This window comes from Homo sapiens, chromosome 17 (genome assembly GCF_000001405.40).
Source record: "Homo sapiens chromosome 17, GRCh38.p14 Primary Assembly".
NCBI lineage: Eukaryota > Metazoa > Chordata > Mammalia > Primates > Hominidae > Homo > Homo sapiens.
Window position 1 is genome coordinate 4,286,262 of NC_000017.11, and position 20,261 is coordinate 4,306,522.

General features: G+C 40.0%; 1 protein-coding gene and 1 pseudogene across 1 annotated transcript in view; one reads left to right on the forward strand and one right to left on the reverse strand.

Moving 5' to 3' along the window:
* UBE2G1 (ubiquitin conjugating enzyme E2 G1) overlaps nt 1-20,261 on the reverse strand; it is a 97,417-nt gene that overhangs the window by 17,003 nt on the left and 60,153 nt on the right. The window contains exons 3-4 of the mRNA NM_003342.5: nt 10,456-10,553; nt 2,969-3,147 (exon numbers count right to left, since the gene is read on the reverse strand). Of these exons, the coding sequence (NP_003333.1) occupies nt 2,969-3,147; nt 10,456-10,553 (277 nt within the window). The remainder of the gene's footprint in view (nt 1-2,968; nt 3,148-10,455; nt 10,554-20,261) is intronic.
* MFSD1P1 (major facilitator superfamily domain containing 1 pseudogene 1) lies at nt 14,986-17,121 on the forward strand (annotated as a pseudogene).

A 20,261-nucleotide genomic window follows, 5' to 3' on the forward strand; every position in this document is an offset into this window, starting at 1 on the left:
AGGCGTGGTGGCAGATGCCTGTAATCCCAGCTACTCGGGAGGCTGAGGCAGGAGAATCACTTGAACCCGGGAGGTGGAGGTTGCAGTGAGCTGAGATTGTGCCACTGCACCCCAGCCTGAGTAACAGAGTGAGACTCTGTCTCAAAAAAAAAAAAAAAAAGAATGGTAAACTGTTTATAAGTCATGGTTTTTGGTTTTAATATGAGACAACTAACTAGTTAAATCAGAAGGAAGAACCAGTGGGATTCAAGAAAAAAAAGGAATAGATTTTGCACAATTTGTGGTATTTGGACTAGAACTCATATTTGCATATTTCAACCTCACATTAAGGCCTATTTCAACACTTAGGAAAATGTTTAGCATCAAGAGAATGACTTTACTCTGGCAGTACATTTGGCTCTTTTTAGATTCAGCTATTTTGAAGGGTTAATAAAGTAATTTTTGCATATTCATGGTCTTGGTTATTGGCTATTAATTTACTCTTCTTTAAGATAAAAGGGCCAGGTGCAGTAGCTCATGCCTGTAATCCCAGCACCTCAGGAGGCCAAGGCGGGCAGATCATTTGAGGTCAGGAGTTTGAGACCAGCCTGGCCAACATGGTGAAACCCCATCTCTACTAAAAACACACAAAAAAATTGCTGGGCGTGGTTCCGCACGTCTGTAATACCAGCTACTTGGGAGGCTAAGGCAGGAGAATCGATTGAACACAGAGGGCAGAGGTTGTGGTTGCAGTGAGGTGAGATCACGCCACTGCACTCCAGCCTGGGCATCAGAGCAAGACTCTGTCTCAAAAATAAATAAATACATACATAAAATAAAAAGGGCAACTTGTCAGCTCTGATTTTTTTTTTTTTTTTTTTTAGATGGAGTCTTGCACTGTTACCCTGGCTGGAGTGCAGAGGCGCAATCTGGGCTCACTGCAAGCACTGCCTCCCAGGTTCAAACAATTCTCCGTGCCTCAGTCTCCCAAGCAGCTGGGATTACAGGCGCCTGCCACCACGCCTGGCTAATTTTTTTGTATTTTTAGTTAAGACGGGGTTTCACTTTGGCCAGGCTGGTCTCGAACTCCTGACCTTGTGATCTGCCCACCTCGGCCTCCCAAACGGCTGGGATTACAGGTGTGAGCCACCACGCCTGGCCAACTCTGATCTTATTATTAAAATTGCTGATAGTTGAGCATGAACCATATAAACATTCATCAGGTCTCTCTCAAAATGATTTCCTAGGATTTCTTTTAATGCAGCTATCACCCCTTCTCCCTTATCATGTCTTACATTGTTTAGACTAATACTTGATTAAATAGATAGTTTTCTGCCAGTTTTTAGTTCAATTCTATTATTAATTTCAGTCATAGCTTTCAAAGGGAGTTATCTATAGTGTCTCAGTCTGTATATAAGATTCCACCCAAGTTGTTATTAACCTAAGAAAAAAGGTAAATTTTATGCCCTGGCTTTGGTATATAGTACTAACAAAGGTTCTAAGAATAAGAAAAAAAGGCTTTTCAAAGAAGGAGAGAAGGCTAAGGAACTAGGAACTATTCTAGATTAAAGCCGACTAATAAAACTTGAATACAAATAAAACAGAGGTTCCTAGACTAGCCTCTGGATTTAAAAAGAAAAAAAAAACTGCAGGATAGGGGCGTGGCAGCTATAAAGAATACTGGACAATCCAATCCAATGTGAATATAGATTATATATGCATAAACAATAATAGTACTACATTAACGACAGACTTGTACTGTGTATATGGAAAGACAGCCTTGTTCTTAGGGAACAGATCCTGAAACATTTTGGGGTGAAGGGTTATGGTATCTATAAACTACTCTCAAACTGTTTAGGAAAAAAAGTTGCAAAATTTCTACAACTGGTGAACCTAGGTGAAAGGTATGCTGGTGTTCATTTAACTAATACATTTTTTTCTATAGATGTGAAACTTTTGAAAATTGAAAACTTGGGGATAATAATATGAACTTCAGACCAGGCATTAAATTGTCTTAGGTATGACAATCGCTTTTGTTTTTAGAGTCCAGATCTCGGCTCACTGCAACCTCTGCCTCCCAGGTTGAAGTGATTCTCCTGCCTCAGCCTCCCGAGTAGCTGGGACTATAGGCGCCCGCCACCACGCCCGGCTAATTTTTCGTATTTTTAATGGAGACGGGGTTTCACCGTGTTAGCCAGGATGGTCTCAATCTCCTGACCTCGTGATCCACCCGCCTCGGCCTCCCAAAGTGCTGGGATTACAGTTGTGAGCCACCGTGCCCAGCCCCGATTCCTTACTTTTTATCTTTTGTGTTAACTACTGTAGGACTTTGCTCTGTGGTTAAAATGAGGCTTACAAAAAAATTTCACAGTTACGACAAGCCATTTTAAGCTGATAAAAATCTGATTGCATTGAAAAACTACACTTCTGCTCTGCCCATTCCACCCCCAATTCTAAATTTGGTGTCACAGTTTACATCCTAATAACGACGTATAGTATTCTTGAAAACTGCTGAGAGGAGAATTTAAGTGTTCTCACAATAAAATTAGTAAGTATGTGAGGTAATGCATATGTGAATTAGCTCAAATTAGCCATTCCACAACATATCCATATTTCAAAACAACATGTTGTATACAATAAATATGCACTTTTGGTCAGGCATGGTGGCTCACACATGTAATCGGAACAATTTGGGAAGCCAAGGCTGGAGGACCACTTGGGCCCAGGAGTTTGAGGTTGCAGTGACCTATGATTGTGCCACTGCACTCCAGCCTAGGTGACAGAGAGACCCTGTCTCAAAAAAAATAAAATAAATACGTAAATAAATATATTTATTTTGTCAAAAATAAGAACTATGGGAAGAGATACACACACACACACACACACACACGCATGCATACATTCATGCATACTTACATACATACTAACTATAGTTCAGGTTTTATTACAAGGGAAAGTGAAGGGAAGGGAAGACGTGTGACCACCTTACCGCAGCATCAACATTAGCAGGTGAGTCTCCATTAGGGTCTGCCAGCATAGAAATGACACTAATCATGATGGTTTCCACAGTGTGGATAGGGAGCCAGCGTTCCTCTGGCTTTTCATAACCATACTTATCTTCCCCAGGCTCATGAAGAATAGAAATGCACACATCACCATTTTTATCAACTGCAAAATTCAAGAAGAGGCTTGTTTCATATATTACTAATTTGGTTATACATGAAATATCAATTACAAATGTGATCCTGATTCACACAGTACCTTTATCAAACATGACACATACGCAGAAGTTAATGTCCAAAATGCAATGTGTTGACTTTTTAAGAAGACTATAGTATAGATTGTACTACATACACAGGATCCATCTGACAAACCCAATAGGAATACAAGCTATCTTTTTCATTTATGTAAAACATGAAGATATCTAGCACGTAGATGGTGCCTAACATTTACATGTCTTAAGTATAATATAATAAATGAATAAATAGCAACTATTGGATGTGTTCTTCATTTGCAGAAAGCATATTTTTCCAAAAACTAGCAACTGAGTTTCTATGTAATGGCCTCCTAGTTTCCCCACTAACTTACCGACTTAAATTGGTAATAGTCAAAGGCCCAGAGACTATTCCTAAGAAATATATTTTTACAATCATATAAAGCCAAAATTGTATTTTCTGAGAAAGGAGTATATTCAAATTCACAAAACAAACATGCCATACTGCCAATGAAAACTCATCAACATATACGACACTCAAGAGGCCTCCTTTCTATAAACACATTTAATAAGAAAACATCCTTATTTTTAGGAGACATGTATTGACATAACTATTTAAGCAGTTTAGCAAAAAAGTAAAATATTACTTATTCATTAAAAAAAGGTCCTAATCCACTAATTCATTTATACATCATATAAATAATCCCTATTGTGAAACTAATCTTTTATGGTAACATTTACCCACCGTAAATTTTTTTAAAAATCATACTTTGAGGAAGAAATTTTAGAAAGGAATTTGAGTAGTGACAATGTTTATGTATATTTCATTCCTAACTTATCCTATATAGTCTAACAAATTTGTGAATAAATATAATGCTAAATCTTATTTTTCGTTTCATAACATCAGTATTTCTGCTGTTATGAACTCTGGGTAATCAGAATCAAAGTTTGTATCTACCAATCAATATCATTGCTCTCTTAATTCAACAAATTCTTATTTTTTGGTGTTGTCTGTTGTTGCTGTTTTGGTTTTTTGAGACAGGGCCTCACTTTGTCACCCAGGCTGGAGTGTAGTGGTATGATCACAGCTCTATGCAGCCTTGACCTCCCAGGCTCAAACGATCCTCCTGCCTCAGCCCTCCAAGTAGCTGGGACCATGGGCACATGGCATGATGCCTGGCTAACCTGACTTTTTTTTTTTTTTTGGTAGAGATGGGGGTCTCACTATGTTGCCCAGGCTGGTCTCAAACTCCTGGGCTCTAGTGATCCTCCCACCTCAGCCTCCCAAGTAGTTGGGACCATAGGCACATGGCACCATTCCTGGCTTTTTTTTTTTTTTTTTTTGGTAGAGATATAGTCTTACTATATTGCCCAGGCTGGTCCCAAACTGGGATTACAGGAAACAGCCCCTGCGCTGGCCGACAAATACTTTTTCAATGCCTACTGCATGCCAGGCACACATCTGACAGAGAAGTACAGCAGTGAATATATGACAGGCAAGGCCCGTGCCTTCAATGTTTTATGTATGAGGTTTTCTATAATTAAGGTTCCTCTTCCCAACCCATCCCTATCTGCTAGTAAAATCTATTTACTAAAATAGAATCAGGGCCAGAATAACACCGAGGGCCGGGCGTGGTGGCTCACGCCTGTAATCCCAACAGTTTGGGAGGCCGAGGAGGGCAGATCACCTGCGGTCAGGAGTTTGAGGCCAGCCTGGCCAACATGGAGAAATCCCATCTCTACTAAAAATACAAAATTAGCTGGCTGTTGTGGCACATGCCTGTAATCCCAGCTACTTGGGAGGCTGGGGCAGGAGAATTGCTTGAAGCCGGGAGGCAGAGGTTGCCATGAGCCAACATCACACCACTGCAGTCTAGCCTGGGCAACGGGCGAAACTCCATCTCAAAAAAAAAAAAAAAAAAGGAATAACATCAAAACTTGTAACACTACAAAATTCAGCATAAAAATTTCATAGAGTATTACTATTTTACAATGTTTTCTGTACTTACTGTGTAATAAGGATTTTTTCCAAGTCATTTTTCTTTAAAAACATGCTATTAAATATGTGTACAGAATTCTACCACCACTATATAAGATCCATTTTCCTTTTTAAAAAAAATCAAGTTATCACTAATCCAGGATCTTTACATTTTTAACCTTCTCATGTCATTTTAAACATACCATTTATTTTAGAATGAGAAGATTTTTAGGCTTAATACCTATTATCAAACCATATTTTAAAGGATTGTATCAATTTATACTGCCATCAGCAATCTGAGATGGCCATTTCATTGCCTCCTCAGGATGAACATTTTCCTTTATTGATGCTGTTTAAATTTCATATATAACATCTGGTTTAATTCACTTTTCTAAATGCTTTTGGGGTGACAACTTTCCATGGATATAACCTGTATGTCCTTCCTCTTTTGTGAAATGTCTGTTCTTATCCTTTAGCCAGTTATGTACTTAATGTTTACTTTCCTCTTGCCACGGTGTTTCTTAGTTTTCCCCATATAATTTTTGCTTGTTACTTTTTTCTTTCATTTCAGTGTTCATTAGAGATGAAACTAAGCTACCTGGGCCGGGCACAGTGGCTCGGCCCACTGTAATGTATGGCTGGCCTGTAATCCCAGCACTTTGGGAGGCTGAGGCGGGCGGATCACCTGAGGTCGAGACCAGCCTGGCCAACATGGTGAACCCATCTCTAATAAAAATACAAGAATTAGCCGGGCTTGGTGGCACGCACCTGTAATCCCAGCTACTCGGGAGGCTGAGGCAGGTGAATTGCTTGAACCTGGGAGGCGGAGGTTGCAGTGAGCCACTGCACTCCAGCCTGGGCGACAGAGTGAGACTCTGTCTCAAAAAAAAAAAAAAAAAAACCCAAACCAAAACCAAACAAACAAAACTAAGCTGCCTAAACAATGCATATACTTCTAGCTACCTCCTTTTTCTTGAGGCCATGCACCTAAAATTCTGAAAAACTGATTTACCCTCATCTTCTCTATTTACTTACTACTCAGGTATTCCTTTATTCTCCTAGAAACTGGCTTCTCCCTAGCAGGATGCTACAACTGTGTCCACAAGTGGTCTGGATAGCATATTTATTCTCCTGGGTACTTTCAGCTACCTGAAGTCACCCCTCTGGGCCAAGACAACTAATACTGTGACAACACTTTGCTGGATACATTTTCCTCCCCTGGCATCTGTGGTACTCTTGTTTTCCCCTGGTTCTTGAACATTCTCTCAGTCACTTTCTAGTTTTCATTTTCCTTAATTTGACTTTTGATGTTATCCTAATCTCCAACATTAACTATATTTTCCGTAGGAAAACTAACCCATTCATTATCATGTTATCTATCATCCTGATACAGTAACTTCCAAGGCCCTTAAGCTCATTGCTGAACCCTGGACTGGTTTAACTAATTATCTAACTGGGTGTAGCAAGTATACCTCAAGAAAAGCTGAATATATGTAAGGTCAGTCACATAAAACTATTCCCCTATAATAATTTTATAACATCTCTATAACTCACCTACTATACAATTCACCTATTTGAAAAGCACGATTTAATGGTTTCTGTCTAGTATGTCTACAGAGTTGTACAATCAATACCACAATCAATTTTAGAGTATTTTTTCACCCTACAATGAAACGCAGTACCAGTTAGCAACCATTCCTCAATCCCCCCCACCTCCCCTCCAGCAGTAGGGAACCACTAACCTACTTTCGGTCTCTATGGATTTGTCTATTCTTGACATTTCATATAAAGGGAATCGTACACTATGTCACCTTTTACGACTGACTTTGTTCACTTAATATAATGTTTCCAAGGTTCATCTATGTTGTAGCAAGTATCACTACTTCATTTCTTTCTTTTCTTTAGAAAACAATATCATGTAATTCATTTCTTTTTATTGCCAAATAATATTCCGTTATATGGGTCCACATTTTGTTTTTCTATTTATCAGCTGATAGACATTTGGGCTGTTTCTACTTTTTGGCTGTTATGAATAATAAATGCTGCTGTGAACACTCGTGTTCGAGTTTTTCTGGACATGTGTTTCAGTTTTCTTGGTTAGGTTCCTAGGATGGAAGTGCAGGGTCCTATGGTAACTATGCTTAACCTTTTGAGGACTGCCAGGCTCTTCTCCAAACACCCGCACCATTTACCTTCTTGCCAGTAGTGCATGGGAGTTCTAATTTCTCTACTTCCTCATTGACATTTGTTATTATCTTTTTGATTATAGGAATCCTAGTGGGTAAAAAGTGGTATTTCATTATGGTTTTCACTCTATAATTATTTTTGTAAATGGCCAGTCAATCCTAAACTCTTACTTCTCCTTTACCATTCACCTCTGGCAGTCAAGTCAAAGAAACTAAATTACCCTTCCTGCAACACTATTCTTAGTTCAAGTTTTTATTGTTTTTTACTCAAATTATTGCTAAAATGCTCTACCTCCCTGCTATCTCTCTGACTTCCCCTTCCAATCTTCTATGAGTGTAATCTTTCAAGAAGGAAAATATAAGAGAAACCTATTACATAGCTTTTTTATTTTTTGTCATTTTCTCTTTTTGTCATGACAATATGTACAGCTTTAAATGTCATGAATTAAATGAGTCCTCACAGCCTAAAGAATGAAGTTCAAGCCAAGCATCATCTTCATTCAAAATTCCATCTAAGACCAGGCGCGTGGCTCACGCCTATAATCCCAGCACTTTGGGAGGCTGAGGCAGACAGATCACATGAGGTCAGGAGTTCAAGACCAGCCTGTCCAACATGGTGAAACCCCGACTCTACTAAAAATACAAAAATTAGCCAGGCGTGGTAGTGGACACCTGTAATCCCAGCTACTCAGGAGGCTGAGGCAAGAGAATCGTTTGAACCCAGGAGGCAGAGGTTGCAGTGAGCCAAGATAGTCCCACTGCATTCCAGCCTGGGCGAGACAGTGAGACTCCGTCTCAAAAAAAAAAAAAAAAAAAAAAAAAGAAAGAAACGAAAAGAAAAGAAAAGAAAAAAAAGTCTCTTCAACCTTAAAACAAAACACACCACCATTTTATCAGCTGTCCTCTTAAACTACCTAGGTGATTGCTCTCTTTCTTTTTACCAGAAGGGAAGTCTCCCATGTATTTGCTTACATGTATGTTTTCATCTAATTTTCACAGATAGAAAACATAGGCCTGGCGTGGTAGCTAATGCCTGTAATCCCAGTACTTTGGGAGGACAAAGTGGGCAGATCACTTGTGCCCAGGAGTTCAGGACCTGCCTGGCCAACAACATGGTGAAACCCCGTCTTTACAAAAAAAAACAAAAATTAGCTGGGTGTGGTGGCGTGTCCCTGTCATCCCAGCTACTTGGGAGGATCACTTGAGCCCAGGAGGTCAAGGCTGCAGTGAGCTGTGATCATGCCATTGCACTGCAGCCTGGGTGGCAGAGTGAGACCCTGTCTTAGAAAAAAAGGACGGAATGGGAGAAACGTACGTGAGGGAGGGAGGGAGCGAGAGAGGGAGAGAAGGGGAAAAGGAGGGGCAGAGTGGGGGAAGGAGAGACGGAGGGAGGGAGGAAGGCAAGCTAGCTAGCTTAAGGCTCCAACAGGGTTTGCCTAGAGTTACACAGCTAGTCTGTGGTGAAGCCAACATTCAGAATCTGTTACATCTTCGAAATAGGTGCAAAACGATTGCCTATTATAATCAAGTAATGCAAGTGAAGGTAGAAGAAACTGTCGAAAGCCTAGGAAGAGATAAAAGAAAAGCCAAAGCACAAGAGGCAAGCGTCACCCATTCATGCATGCCCGCATCATGCAGGAATACGGTTAATGCATTCTGCCATCAACTGTTAGAGATATTTTCCTCTTCTTACTGGTAGGAAAAATCACTATCTTTTACGATCACTGCTGCCTTAGATGCAATAAAATACGCTAAGTCCCTTGGCTCCCAGTAGTTCTCCATTTGCCAGTTCCAGTCTCTCCTAATGCCCATCTGGTTTTCAAGCCTTGGCTTCTATTACGTATTCCATATCCTTCCGATAAATCCTTGTTTAACTTCATTCAATCATTCATTCCTGTCTCGCTGATTCCAGCTTAAACTAATCTATATGTTTCTATTCCCTGCACCCAGAAGTCTTGATGATGCGAAGCCAAATGCAAATTAGTATAATAGCCTAAAGAGACAACTCTGATTACATAGTCAAAATAATTAGAAAAGAAATCTCTGCAAGTTCTATCATACAAAACAAAGCCAAAAGTTCAGAGAGACTGTTTTATAAATATAGCTTATCTGGCCTAAACTTTGGGGACTTTATTTTACTTTATAGAGAATTTTTTTTTTAATTTTTAAATAAGACGTAGTTATTGGGGGCTTATATACAGGGGAGAGAGTCCAGTGGCAGCTGGCTAGGCAGGAGAACTGCCACCGTGTGGATTTGAAGTGGTAGCTCTTCTTTAAGTAAAAAAAGTCAATGTCATCACTACGTGCACAGCCATACTAGATGCTTTCCAGGCTTAAAAAATGTAATACGTTGTTTCATATGACACTGCCAGTAATCTTACACCTATGAATACACATAGAAGAGTTGTCCATGGTATAAAAATAATATGAAAAACTATAAGTTACAGAACCAGGTTTCATAATTTCTGTGTTCTTTGTAATAGCCAGTGAATCATCTAATACCTTGATAATTATCCCCTCAATTATAGGAGTTCTATTGATGTTATCCCTCAGTAACCATGCCCTCTGGTTTAAAACACGAGTCTCAAACCAAACTGAAAACTAAGTAAATAAATAAAAAATAACTTTTTCCACATGATCTCTGTTTCTCCTTCTCTTTTTTGGGACACGGTCTCACTCTGCTGCCCAGGCTGGAGTGCAGTGGTGTGATCTTGGCTCACTGCAACCTGCACCTCCCGGGTTCAAGCGATTCTTGTGCCTCAGCCTCCGAAGTAGCTGGGATTACAGGTGTGTGCCACCATGCCTAACTAATTTTTGTATTTTGAGTAGAGATGGGGTTTCACCATGTTTGCCAGGCTGGTCTCCAACTCTTGACCTCAAGTGATCCGCCTGCCTGGCCTGCTGGGATTACAGGTGTGAGCCACTGCACCTGGCCTCTCCTCCTTTTAAAGGTTTTAGTACACAGCCATGTGCACAATGAACAGTACAAAAATGCCAAAGCAATTTCACTGAGAAACAGATCTTTCTTATTGACCTTGAACACTTCAATAACAGGCCATCAAATCTGCAAATGTAAAAGTAAAACTAGATAAACTTACCATTTGGGTGCCAGATTTCTGTAATGAATTTCATTTTAGGAGGTCGGAGGGGATAATCTTTTGGGAAAGTAAGATGAGCCTTAAAAACACCACCTTCACTGGAAAAAAGAACAAAAAGAAGTTCTTGCCTATAAGTTCCTGCTTTTAAGTATAGAAGTGTTAAAACAAATATAAAACAAGGGTGCTAGCACTAACATCAAAAATGAAGTAAACAAATAATCTGGATTCCCACAGGCAGTTACTTTCTCAAATAAGTAGTTTAATAAACTGTCATGGCTATCACATTGATTAAACTTTCAAGAGAGCTGGTAAAATGAAATCATCTGCTAAAAAGACATTCACACCAGATCAGATCAGATCATATTACTGCTATGCTACAAACCCTTCCATCACTTCCCAGTGCACTTAAAACAAAATTCAGAAGGTTTAACATCACCAATTTCTCTATGTTGATTTGAAACTAGCCAGTCGTCTTTCTATTCCTCAAACACATCAAACCCTTTCTCATCTCAAAACTTATGGACATTTTCTTTTTCCTTATCTAGGAATAGATATATTGCCTCCATCTATCCATTTATTCATTTCATCATTTAACAAGTATTTACTCGGCATTTATGTGTCAAACTCCAGGGGTATAGCAGCAAAAAAAATCTCAAGAGTGACTTTCCAGAACAGCACTGTAAAACCAAACTGTAATGCTGGAGATGTTCTGTATTTGTGCTGTCCAATAATGTAGCCACCAACCACTTGAAATATGCCCTGTGACTGCTATTTTAGACAATACACCTCCAGATCACTGACACTTAATCAGCAGTCATTCTTAAGGAATCATCAAAAGAACAATACAATGAGTTGTATACATTAACTAAAACCACAGAGATCAAGTCAGCCTTAAAGGGCAAAAATACTAAATTTCTGTCTTGCGGCCTTGGTACTAAATATTTCCTCTGTTGGAAATACTTTTCTCCCTTTGTCTTCTGATTATCATTCGGTACTCAGCTTAAACGTTACCTCTAGAAAGATTTTATTTGACTAAAATCTAAACTAGCCACCAGGTCCCTTCTAGTACATTGACCTCTTTAAATTTCTTTATTGCAGTACCATTTGCACATCTGATTCTTCTGTTGTTCAATGTGTCCAACCATTAGAATCATGATTGTGGTTGTTTCAGATCAGTGAGAAATGAAATTCTCAGCTCATTAAATGGTTTTCATTCACTGAACAAATATACATTGATTACCCAGTTACTCTAACCATTGGTCTACGTAAAAGGATACAACAGAGAACAAAGCATTAAAGAGCACTGTGGAGCTTATCATTTTAGTGGCAGAAGGAAAATATCTACCAAGAAAAATATCAGTAGTAAGTGTTGTCATGGAATGATATGAGGAATCTATTGTTACATTTTTAAAAGCAGGTATTTCTAAAACAAGCTAATTTGTCTTTAAAGAAAAAGTGGGAGGCCGGACACAGTGGCTCATGCCTGTAATTCTAGCTACTTGAGAGGCTGAGGGGGGAAGGATCCCTTCAGCCCAAGAAGTTGAGGCTTCAGAGAGCTGTGATTGCACCACTGCACTGCACTCCAGCCTGGGAAAAGAAAAAAGAAAAGAAAGGAAAGAACAAGTGAAAAATTGGGGGTGTGTTTGTATACACATAGAAAAATGTCCAGAAACAGGACATCAATACATAACAATAGTTAACTAACAATAGTTAGTGTTACGAGATCTTTTACTCTCTGCTCTTTTTAATATAGCTTGAACTGTTCACAAGCAAGTATGAATTTTTATTGCTTTTTCTGATCATAAGACATGGGGAAGGTGCAGATTAAGTTTAAAAAAAGAGACAGATCATTAACACCAAACATTTCTGAATAATTAGGAAATGCCACAGGACTCAGAGTATAAAGTCAGTGACCTTGATAATACAATTTTTTTAGTAAAAAGCAATAGGAAAAAAAGCTGTAAAGGGTTAAAGAACAGGGTAGTAAAGTACTTAAGCATAATAAACAGGACAATTTATACAAAAAATTTAACAGTTGAAGATAGTAACTAGATGGGGAAACTGTACAAAACAAGCGCTTTAAAAGAGATATTCGAAGAAATGTAGAAATGAAGTAAGGCCCACCATAGCGCCTTACTTTTCACAACTGATGAGGTTATCTATTGAAAGGAAGAAGCATGAGGGCTTGAGGGAATAGAGACTGGAATAGCTGTTGTGAAGAGTGCATTACACCAAAAAGAGTTAAGTCTTTATCTACTGATCCTGTTGCTCTGTGTAAGTTAGTGCCAAAATGGGTCTTAGGATATACTGATTACATGGACTAGTTTTTCAAACAGGGCTGCAAAAGCAATTTAATGAGTCACTATCAAAGTTTTTTTGTTAACAAAAATAGAAAACAGAGTTTATCACAAGTAGTTTCAGTTATATAATCTATGTATGTGTTTTATTCACTAATCTATATATACATATGTATGCACTGCGTCATGATGTAAAGTATTTCTAATTATGGGTTTGAAAGCCACAATTACAGAAAACAGCCAAACATGGTGGCGTGCACCTGTAATCCCAGCTACTTGGGAGGCTGAGGTAGGAGAATTGTTGGAACCTGGGAGGTGGAGGGTGCAGTGAGCCAAGATTGTGCCACTGCACTCCAGCGTGGGTGCCAGAGTGAGACTCTGTCTCAACAACAACAAAAAAAGAGTCAATGTAAAAGGACATCAAAGCCACTGCCACAAAGCCCCTGCACTTGATTCTACTGGCAGCCACTTGCCACTTGATTCCTTGACAACATTAAGTCAGCTTTCCCACGTCACTTACTTTTGATTGGTTACATTCACTAAAAAGCTTCATAATAGCTGACTGGAATCCTCATCATGAAAAACTGACTTAGACCCTCTAAATTGTTTTCAATCTCTAAAATGTCAACCAAATTCAACTAAAAGAGTAGCCCTAAAAATTTAAAGCACACAATTTTCACTCTATCTGAAAATGGCCTTGCCCACTCTGAAGCAACCATAGCATTTCTGAGTTTTTCTCCTATCTGTGGACCCCTCTTCTTCTATTTTACCTGTGGAAATTCTACCTGCCCCTCCCCTCTTTTCCTTTTTTTAGTTTTTTTTTTTTTTTTGGAGATGGAGTCTTGCTCTGTCGCCCAGGCTGGAGTGCAGTGGCGTGATCTCGGCTCACTGCAAGCTCTGCCTCCCGGGTTGAAGAGATTCTCCTGCCTCAGCCTCCCAAGTACCTAGGATTACAAGCGCACACCACCACGTCCCGCTAATTTTTGTATCTTTAGTAGAGACGGGGTTTCACTATGTTGGCCAGGCTGGTCTTGAACTCCTGACCTTCTGAGCCACCGCACCTGGCCTACCTGCTTTTTTTTTTTGATGCTTAACTAACTAGTACCCAACTTGTGCGTGCAAACTTCTACCGAGCAGCCAAGTTAGCAAAGAGAAAGCCCAAAACCCATAGAGTAGAATAACACTGTAGACTACACATTAACATGTCACATATCCACTATTTTTCAAATATAGAAAGATGTGACTGTGGCCAGGCAAGGTGGCTCACGCCTGTAATCCCAGCACTTTGGGAGGCTGAGGCGGGCGGATCACTTGAGGTCAGGAGTTCGAAAACAACCTGACCAATATGGTGAAACGCCGTCTCTACTAAAAATGCAAAAATTAGCCAGGCGTGGTGGCAGGTGCCTGTAATCCCATCTACTCAGGAGGCTGAAGCAGGAGAATGGCTTGAGCCTGGGAGGCAGAGGTTGCAATGAGCCAAGATTGTGCCACTGCACTCCAGCCTGGGCCACAAAGCAAGACTCTGTCTCCAAAAATAATAATAATAAATAAATAAATAAAATAAAATTTAAAAAGGCACCAATTAATTCAAAATATCTTTCATTACATATTATCTTCATCACAGATGCTATAGTATAAGTACTATCATGATATTAAAAAGAGGTATGTAGGCCGGGCACGGTGGCTCACACCTGTAATCCCAGCACTTTGGGAGGCTGAGGCGGGTAGATCATGAGGTCAGGAGTTCAAGACCAGCATGGCCGAGATGGTGAAATCCCATCTCTACTAAAAACTACAAAAATTAGCCAGGCATGGTGACAGGTGCCCATAATCCCAGCTACTCAGGAAGCTGAGGTAGGAGAATCACTTGAACCCAGGCGGCGGAGGTTGCAGTGAGCAACAGAGTCAGACTCTGTTTTCAAACAAAAAAAAAAGAGAGAGAGAGATATGTAACCAGCAGTTTCACATTTGAAAGTGTTTAAAAACCCAGGCCTAGTTCAATTTTTTTCCATGAGGCCTCCATTACTGTTTTTGAGTTAAATTATAAAAATCTTACAAGGATCAAATCCTACCATACTGCCATATTTATTTTATGTAAATAATGTGCTGTATGCTGCCGTCTGCAATTTGCTCAACATTGTTCTATTAATCTATAGTCCTGTTGTAGCTGTCTCTTGTCCATTCATTCTATCCGCCACAGTTCACTATTATTCTATGATAGTCAGAATCACATAGTCATGTGATCACTGACTTGGCTGTGCTCCGTGGGCACTGCTTTTCTGCCAGGTCCTGGAGTTGTCACCCCTTTTGCCTCTCAGCCTCCCACGGGCGCAATGGAGGAGAAGGATGAGAAAGCATGGGTGCTGCTGGCCCTTCTGTGGCCTCCAGTCACCTGGCTATGACTTTTGATGCTGTTATTGATGTGTTTCCTTGGCTTCAGCAGCTATTTTTGCTATAATAATCCTGCTGCCCTTCAGACTCAGGATAAACGGAACAGGCAGGTGAACACCATGAAATTCATGCTGCTATATGCCTGGTATTCTTGGCCCAATGTAGTTTTGTGTTTCTTTGGTGGCTTTTTAAAAGACCGAGTATTTGGAATATGATGGGGCACAATTACTTTTAGCTGTTTTATTTGCACTGGACAGGTTGTTTTGTTCTGGGTGGAATATTTAATGTTTTTTGGCTGATGGAATTTGAAAGACTTGTGTTTGGATTGGTGGGGAGTGCTCAGCAGTTGCCCAGGACATATGCTGTCAGCTGGTTTAAAGACAAAGAATTAAACCTGGTGTCTGGACTCCAACAATTTAGCATGGCTAGAATTGGAAGTACGGTAAACATGAACTTCGTGAGTTGGCTGTATTCTAAGATTGAAGCTTCGTGGGGTTCTGCTGGTCACACAACCCCTGGGGTCACACTTAAGATTGGGGGTATAAAATGTATTCTTTCACTAATCTGTGCCTTCCTTGGCTCTTGCTTACTTAGATGCGAGAGCAGAGAGAATCCTTCATAAAGAACAACAACAACAAAAAAAGGGGGGGGAAGTTTTTACATTAACTGATGTAAAGGATTTCTCCTTACCCCTGTGGCTCATATTTATCATCTGTGTCTGCTATTGTGTTGCCATGTTCCCTTTTATTGGACTTGGGAAAGTTTTCTTTACAGACAAATTTGGATTTTCTTTCCAGGCAGCAAGTGCAATGAACAGTGTTGTATATGTCGTTATCAGCTCCCACACCCCAGTATTTGGGCTCCCAGTGGATGACACGGGGAAGAACAGCATCTGGGTTCTGCGTGTGGTTGCAGCCACTCTTGTGTCCCACATGATGCTGGCCTTTATGATGTGGAGCCCTTGGGTTGCTGTGTCTTCTGGGAATCTCCTATTCATCGCTTGCCTGTGCATTTTGGCCAACAGTGGCATCTGTAGTTCCTGAACATCAACTGGGAACTGCATATGGCTTCACGCACTCCATTCAGAATCTTGGGGTGGCCATCATTTCCATCACTGCTGGGATGGATGATACTGGACACTGGGGGATATTTGTTTTTAGAAGTTTTCTTCATTGCCTGTGATTCTATGTGACTTTTATCTGTGGTCTTACTCTATTTTGTGAATCATGCCCAGGGTGAGAACCTAAATTATTCCACAAGACAAAGGGAAGAAATAAAATTTTCCCATACTTAATAAGTTTAAATGACTGTGTCATGAGAATGGGCTTTTGCACATCACTGGTTTGAAAATCTCCATTTTTAAAAATTTAGAGTTTAGTCATGAGAAAAAAAATAATGGAATGGCAAGTTGTATTTATATCCAAATACACCTATTTCAAAGTGTATTTGTGAGAACTATTTTAGCCTGTGTCTTCTGTATTGTGTGTTGCTGAAGAATTCTACAAAAGGCCAACCAACAATGAAAGGTTTAGAAAACTGCTCTGGAACATCCAGGTGAACTTCAGAAAAGAACAGTGAAAACAGAAAAACACAGGAGCTTCTTTTGAGATTGTCTTCATTAAGTATGTGTCTAAGGGATACAGCCTTTTCTTTATCTTACAGCAGAAAAAAAAAAAATTGTGACAGACATTCCCTTTCCTGGTAGGGGCATAATGCTAGAAGACATGTGAAGATATTTGTATGAAGTCTCTTTCTACTCACAACCAGTAGCTTGGGCTCTACTATGTGGTTATGTGGACTGCTGAGCAGTGACCCTTCTGAGTTGATTTTTCTGTTACTGAGTCCCCTAATCTCTTAGGGACACAAATTATAGTACAAACAGTCTGTACAGTTTTTCATATAGTCTAATTAGTAACTACAAAGTGTCCTTCGAATTATAATTGACATTTACAAAAATAAATAATAAAACTGCAAAAGGGGAAAAAATAATTTTTTTTTTGCTATTATAAGCAATAGAACATGGAACATTTGAAACATTTCCTAAGCATAGGGTTTTTACCCTAGAAATGAAACTGCTAAGACCAAATTTAAGTAATTGTTCAAAGTCACTCAACTAAGAAGAGTGGTAGAGTTAGAGAGCTAACCAAAGGCAGTCCCCAAAGTCCATGTTCTTGAACACTACGTGATAAACCGCATGGCATTACCACTGATCATTCCATTTCCAAGCAATGTAGGCACTAGGTTCATTCCCTCCAGAACTTCATTACAGAAGAGATGGCTTCTGCCTCTATGTCTCACACAGGACTGGAAAATAATTTATAACTGGAATAGAATTTTGCAACTGTAAAAGAATGTAATTCAGAGTTTTGGTTAACTGATTCTTCATTTTCTATATCTACCCAAGGCAATACTACAAAACACATAATCTTAAGATTCTCCAGATTTTTCATATCATTGCCAGTGCTTAAAAACAAAATAAATAAATAAGACATACTCCTTGAACAGACCAGCCACTGGTGATGAAAGGAAAAGAGAGATAAAAGTTATACAGTCATCATTCATTAATAATTTATAAAATGTTATAATGATACAGTGATATCCAGGTTTCTTAGACTTTCTGGTTTTGTTTGTTTGTTTAAGACAGGGTCTAGCTCTGTTGCCCAAGCTAGAGTGCAGTAGCGTAATCTTGGCTCACTGCAGCCTCCACCTCCTGGGCTCAGCCTCCTGACTGCAGGCATGCATCACCATGCTTGACTTATTTTTGTATTTTTTTTTGTAGAGACAGGGTTTTGCCATGTAGCCGAAGCTGGTCTCCAACGTCTGAGCTCAAGCGATCCACCCTTGGCCTCCCAAAGTGTAGGGATTATAGACGTGAGCCACTGTATCCACCCTAAACTTCCGTACTACAAACCTATTGCCACTTCTACCTGAAATTTTAATTTCTGTGGATATGAGTGGTTATCCATACTGTTTGATAATCAGTCTGAAAACAGTTGGTATACCACACCAGTTTCAGAATGTACATTTCATAGAAAGGCCTTAGGGACTACTGCACTGGAAAGACTCATTAATAAAAATAAAAATGTAATGCTATATAAATATGAGTATGACTGAATTAAGACTTGTGGCAACTATAGGAGTCTCAAAGTAATCCTTGAACGGTACCGGTTATCAATCACATAGACTGAAAAGAGAGTGGAGCGCCCTCTAGTGACTACATGAGGGCTAATGATGGCACAGAGAGATAATCACAGCAGCTTTTACAGAATTTTGGTACAGTATTTCTATTATCTAATTATAAAGTGGTGAATTAATCACTTAGGTCTGGGTACCATCTGAGCCTATACTAATTTATTTTCAATCCTATAACACCCCTCCCCCCAGCACAAGCCTCTACTTCCCTTCACAGGCAGTTATTTAAACGTAAGGTGTATATATTCACTTCCAATAGTGCTCTTCAAACAATTCCAAGATGGCCTCTACTCTCTCCATTCCACTGAAATAATTACAAGAACCTCACTACTTTCTGCTAAGAAGTTTTTTAAGAACTTTTTTTTTTTTTTTTTTAGATAGAGTTCTGCTCTTGTTGCCCAGGCTGGAGTGGGTGACACGATCCCGGCTCACTGCAACCTCTGCCTCCTGGATTCAAGCGATTCTCCTGCCTCAGCCTCCCGAGTAGCTGGGATTACAGGCATATGCCACCTCACCTGGCTAAATTTTTTGTATTTTTAGTAGAGACAGGGTTTCTCCATGTTGGTCAGGCTGGTCTCCAACTCTCGACCTCAGGTGATCCTGCCCACCTCGGCCTCGTGAGCCACTACGCCCGGCCGACAACAAATATTTTTTAAGCATTCTATGAAGTACATGGTTCTTGGTAGCATTCTAAAAGGCTTACTTCTAACAAACCTTTCTTCATTCCCCTGTACCTTCCTTTGCCTTTCTCAGGTCCTGCCCTAGGAATATGCTCTCTCTTTCCTGAGCAAAGGCTAGTGATCTCAGGAAGGCACAGTCCAGAAGTGACCACCAGTATTCTCAGCAGCATATACACACTCCAGCAGAGCTGCCAGAAATATTGCTGTGATTCACATCTCAATTCAACAGCCAACACTTTTAAAAATGTACACCAAAGACCAGAGACGGTTTTGTTTTCTTTTTTGAGACGGAGTCTCGCTCTGTCACCAGGCTGGAGTGCAGTAGCGTAATTTTGGCTCACTGCAACCTCCACCTCCCGGATTCAAGCGATTCTCCTGCCTCAGCCTCCTGAGCAGCTGGGACTACAGGCGCCCGCCACCATGCCCAGCTAATTTTTGTATTTTTAGTAGAGACAGGGTTTCACCATGTTGGCCAGGCTGGTCTTGAACTCCTGACCACAGGTGATCCACACGCCTCAGCCTCCCAAAGTGCTGGGATTACAGGCGTGAGCCAACGCACCAAGCCAGCAGATGCATCTTACAAAACAATACATACTAGTAAATTTAAGTTAGTCTGCAAACACTCAGAGCAGAAAAGAAGACTGTGGTCTTTGCATCTAGAAATGTACGACATGAAATATTTTTAAACTCTATTTCTCTTCTTCTACTGCTCTTTCACACCACTACATTGTTGTCTATCCTTAAGCCATTGGTTTAACAATTAATAGTCAGTTAATAGATTATCATAGAGCATAACAATAACTTTCAATAAACTAGGAGAAAGTGACCATTAGTTTAGTTTGGGATAAGAACACCTAGATTCTAACCAGTATTCGGTGGGGACTCAAGTAGAGAACCATGAAAAGAGACGATCTTGAAAGTTCTCCTTAGCCTTCTTAAAACACTGATGTGTGTAATACATTCTCAATTAAAATGTCCAAAAATTATATAACTCTTCTGCCTCCTGAGTTCAAGTGATTCTCCTGCCTCAGCCTCCCGGGTAGCTGGGATTACAGGCATGCCACCATGCCCAGCTAATTTTCGTATTCTTAGTAGAGATGGGGTTTCACCATGTTGGCCAAGCTGGTATCAAACTCCTGACCTCTCAGGTGATCCACCCACCTCAGCCTCCTAAAGTGCTGGGATTGCAGGCATGAGCCACCGCGCCCGGCCTGAAACTATTATTTTTAATAGCAATAGGTCTTAG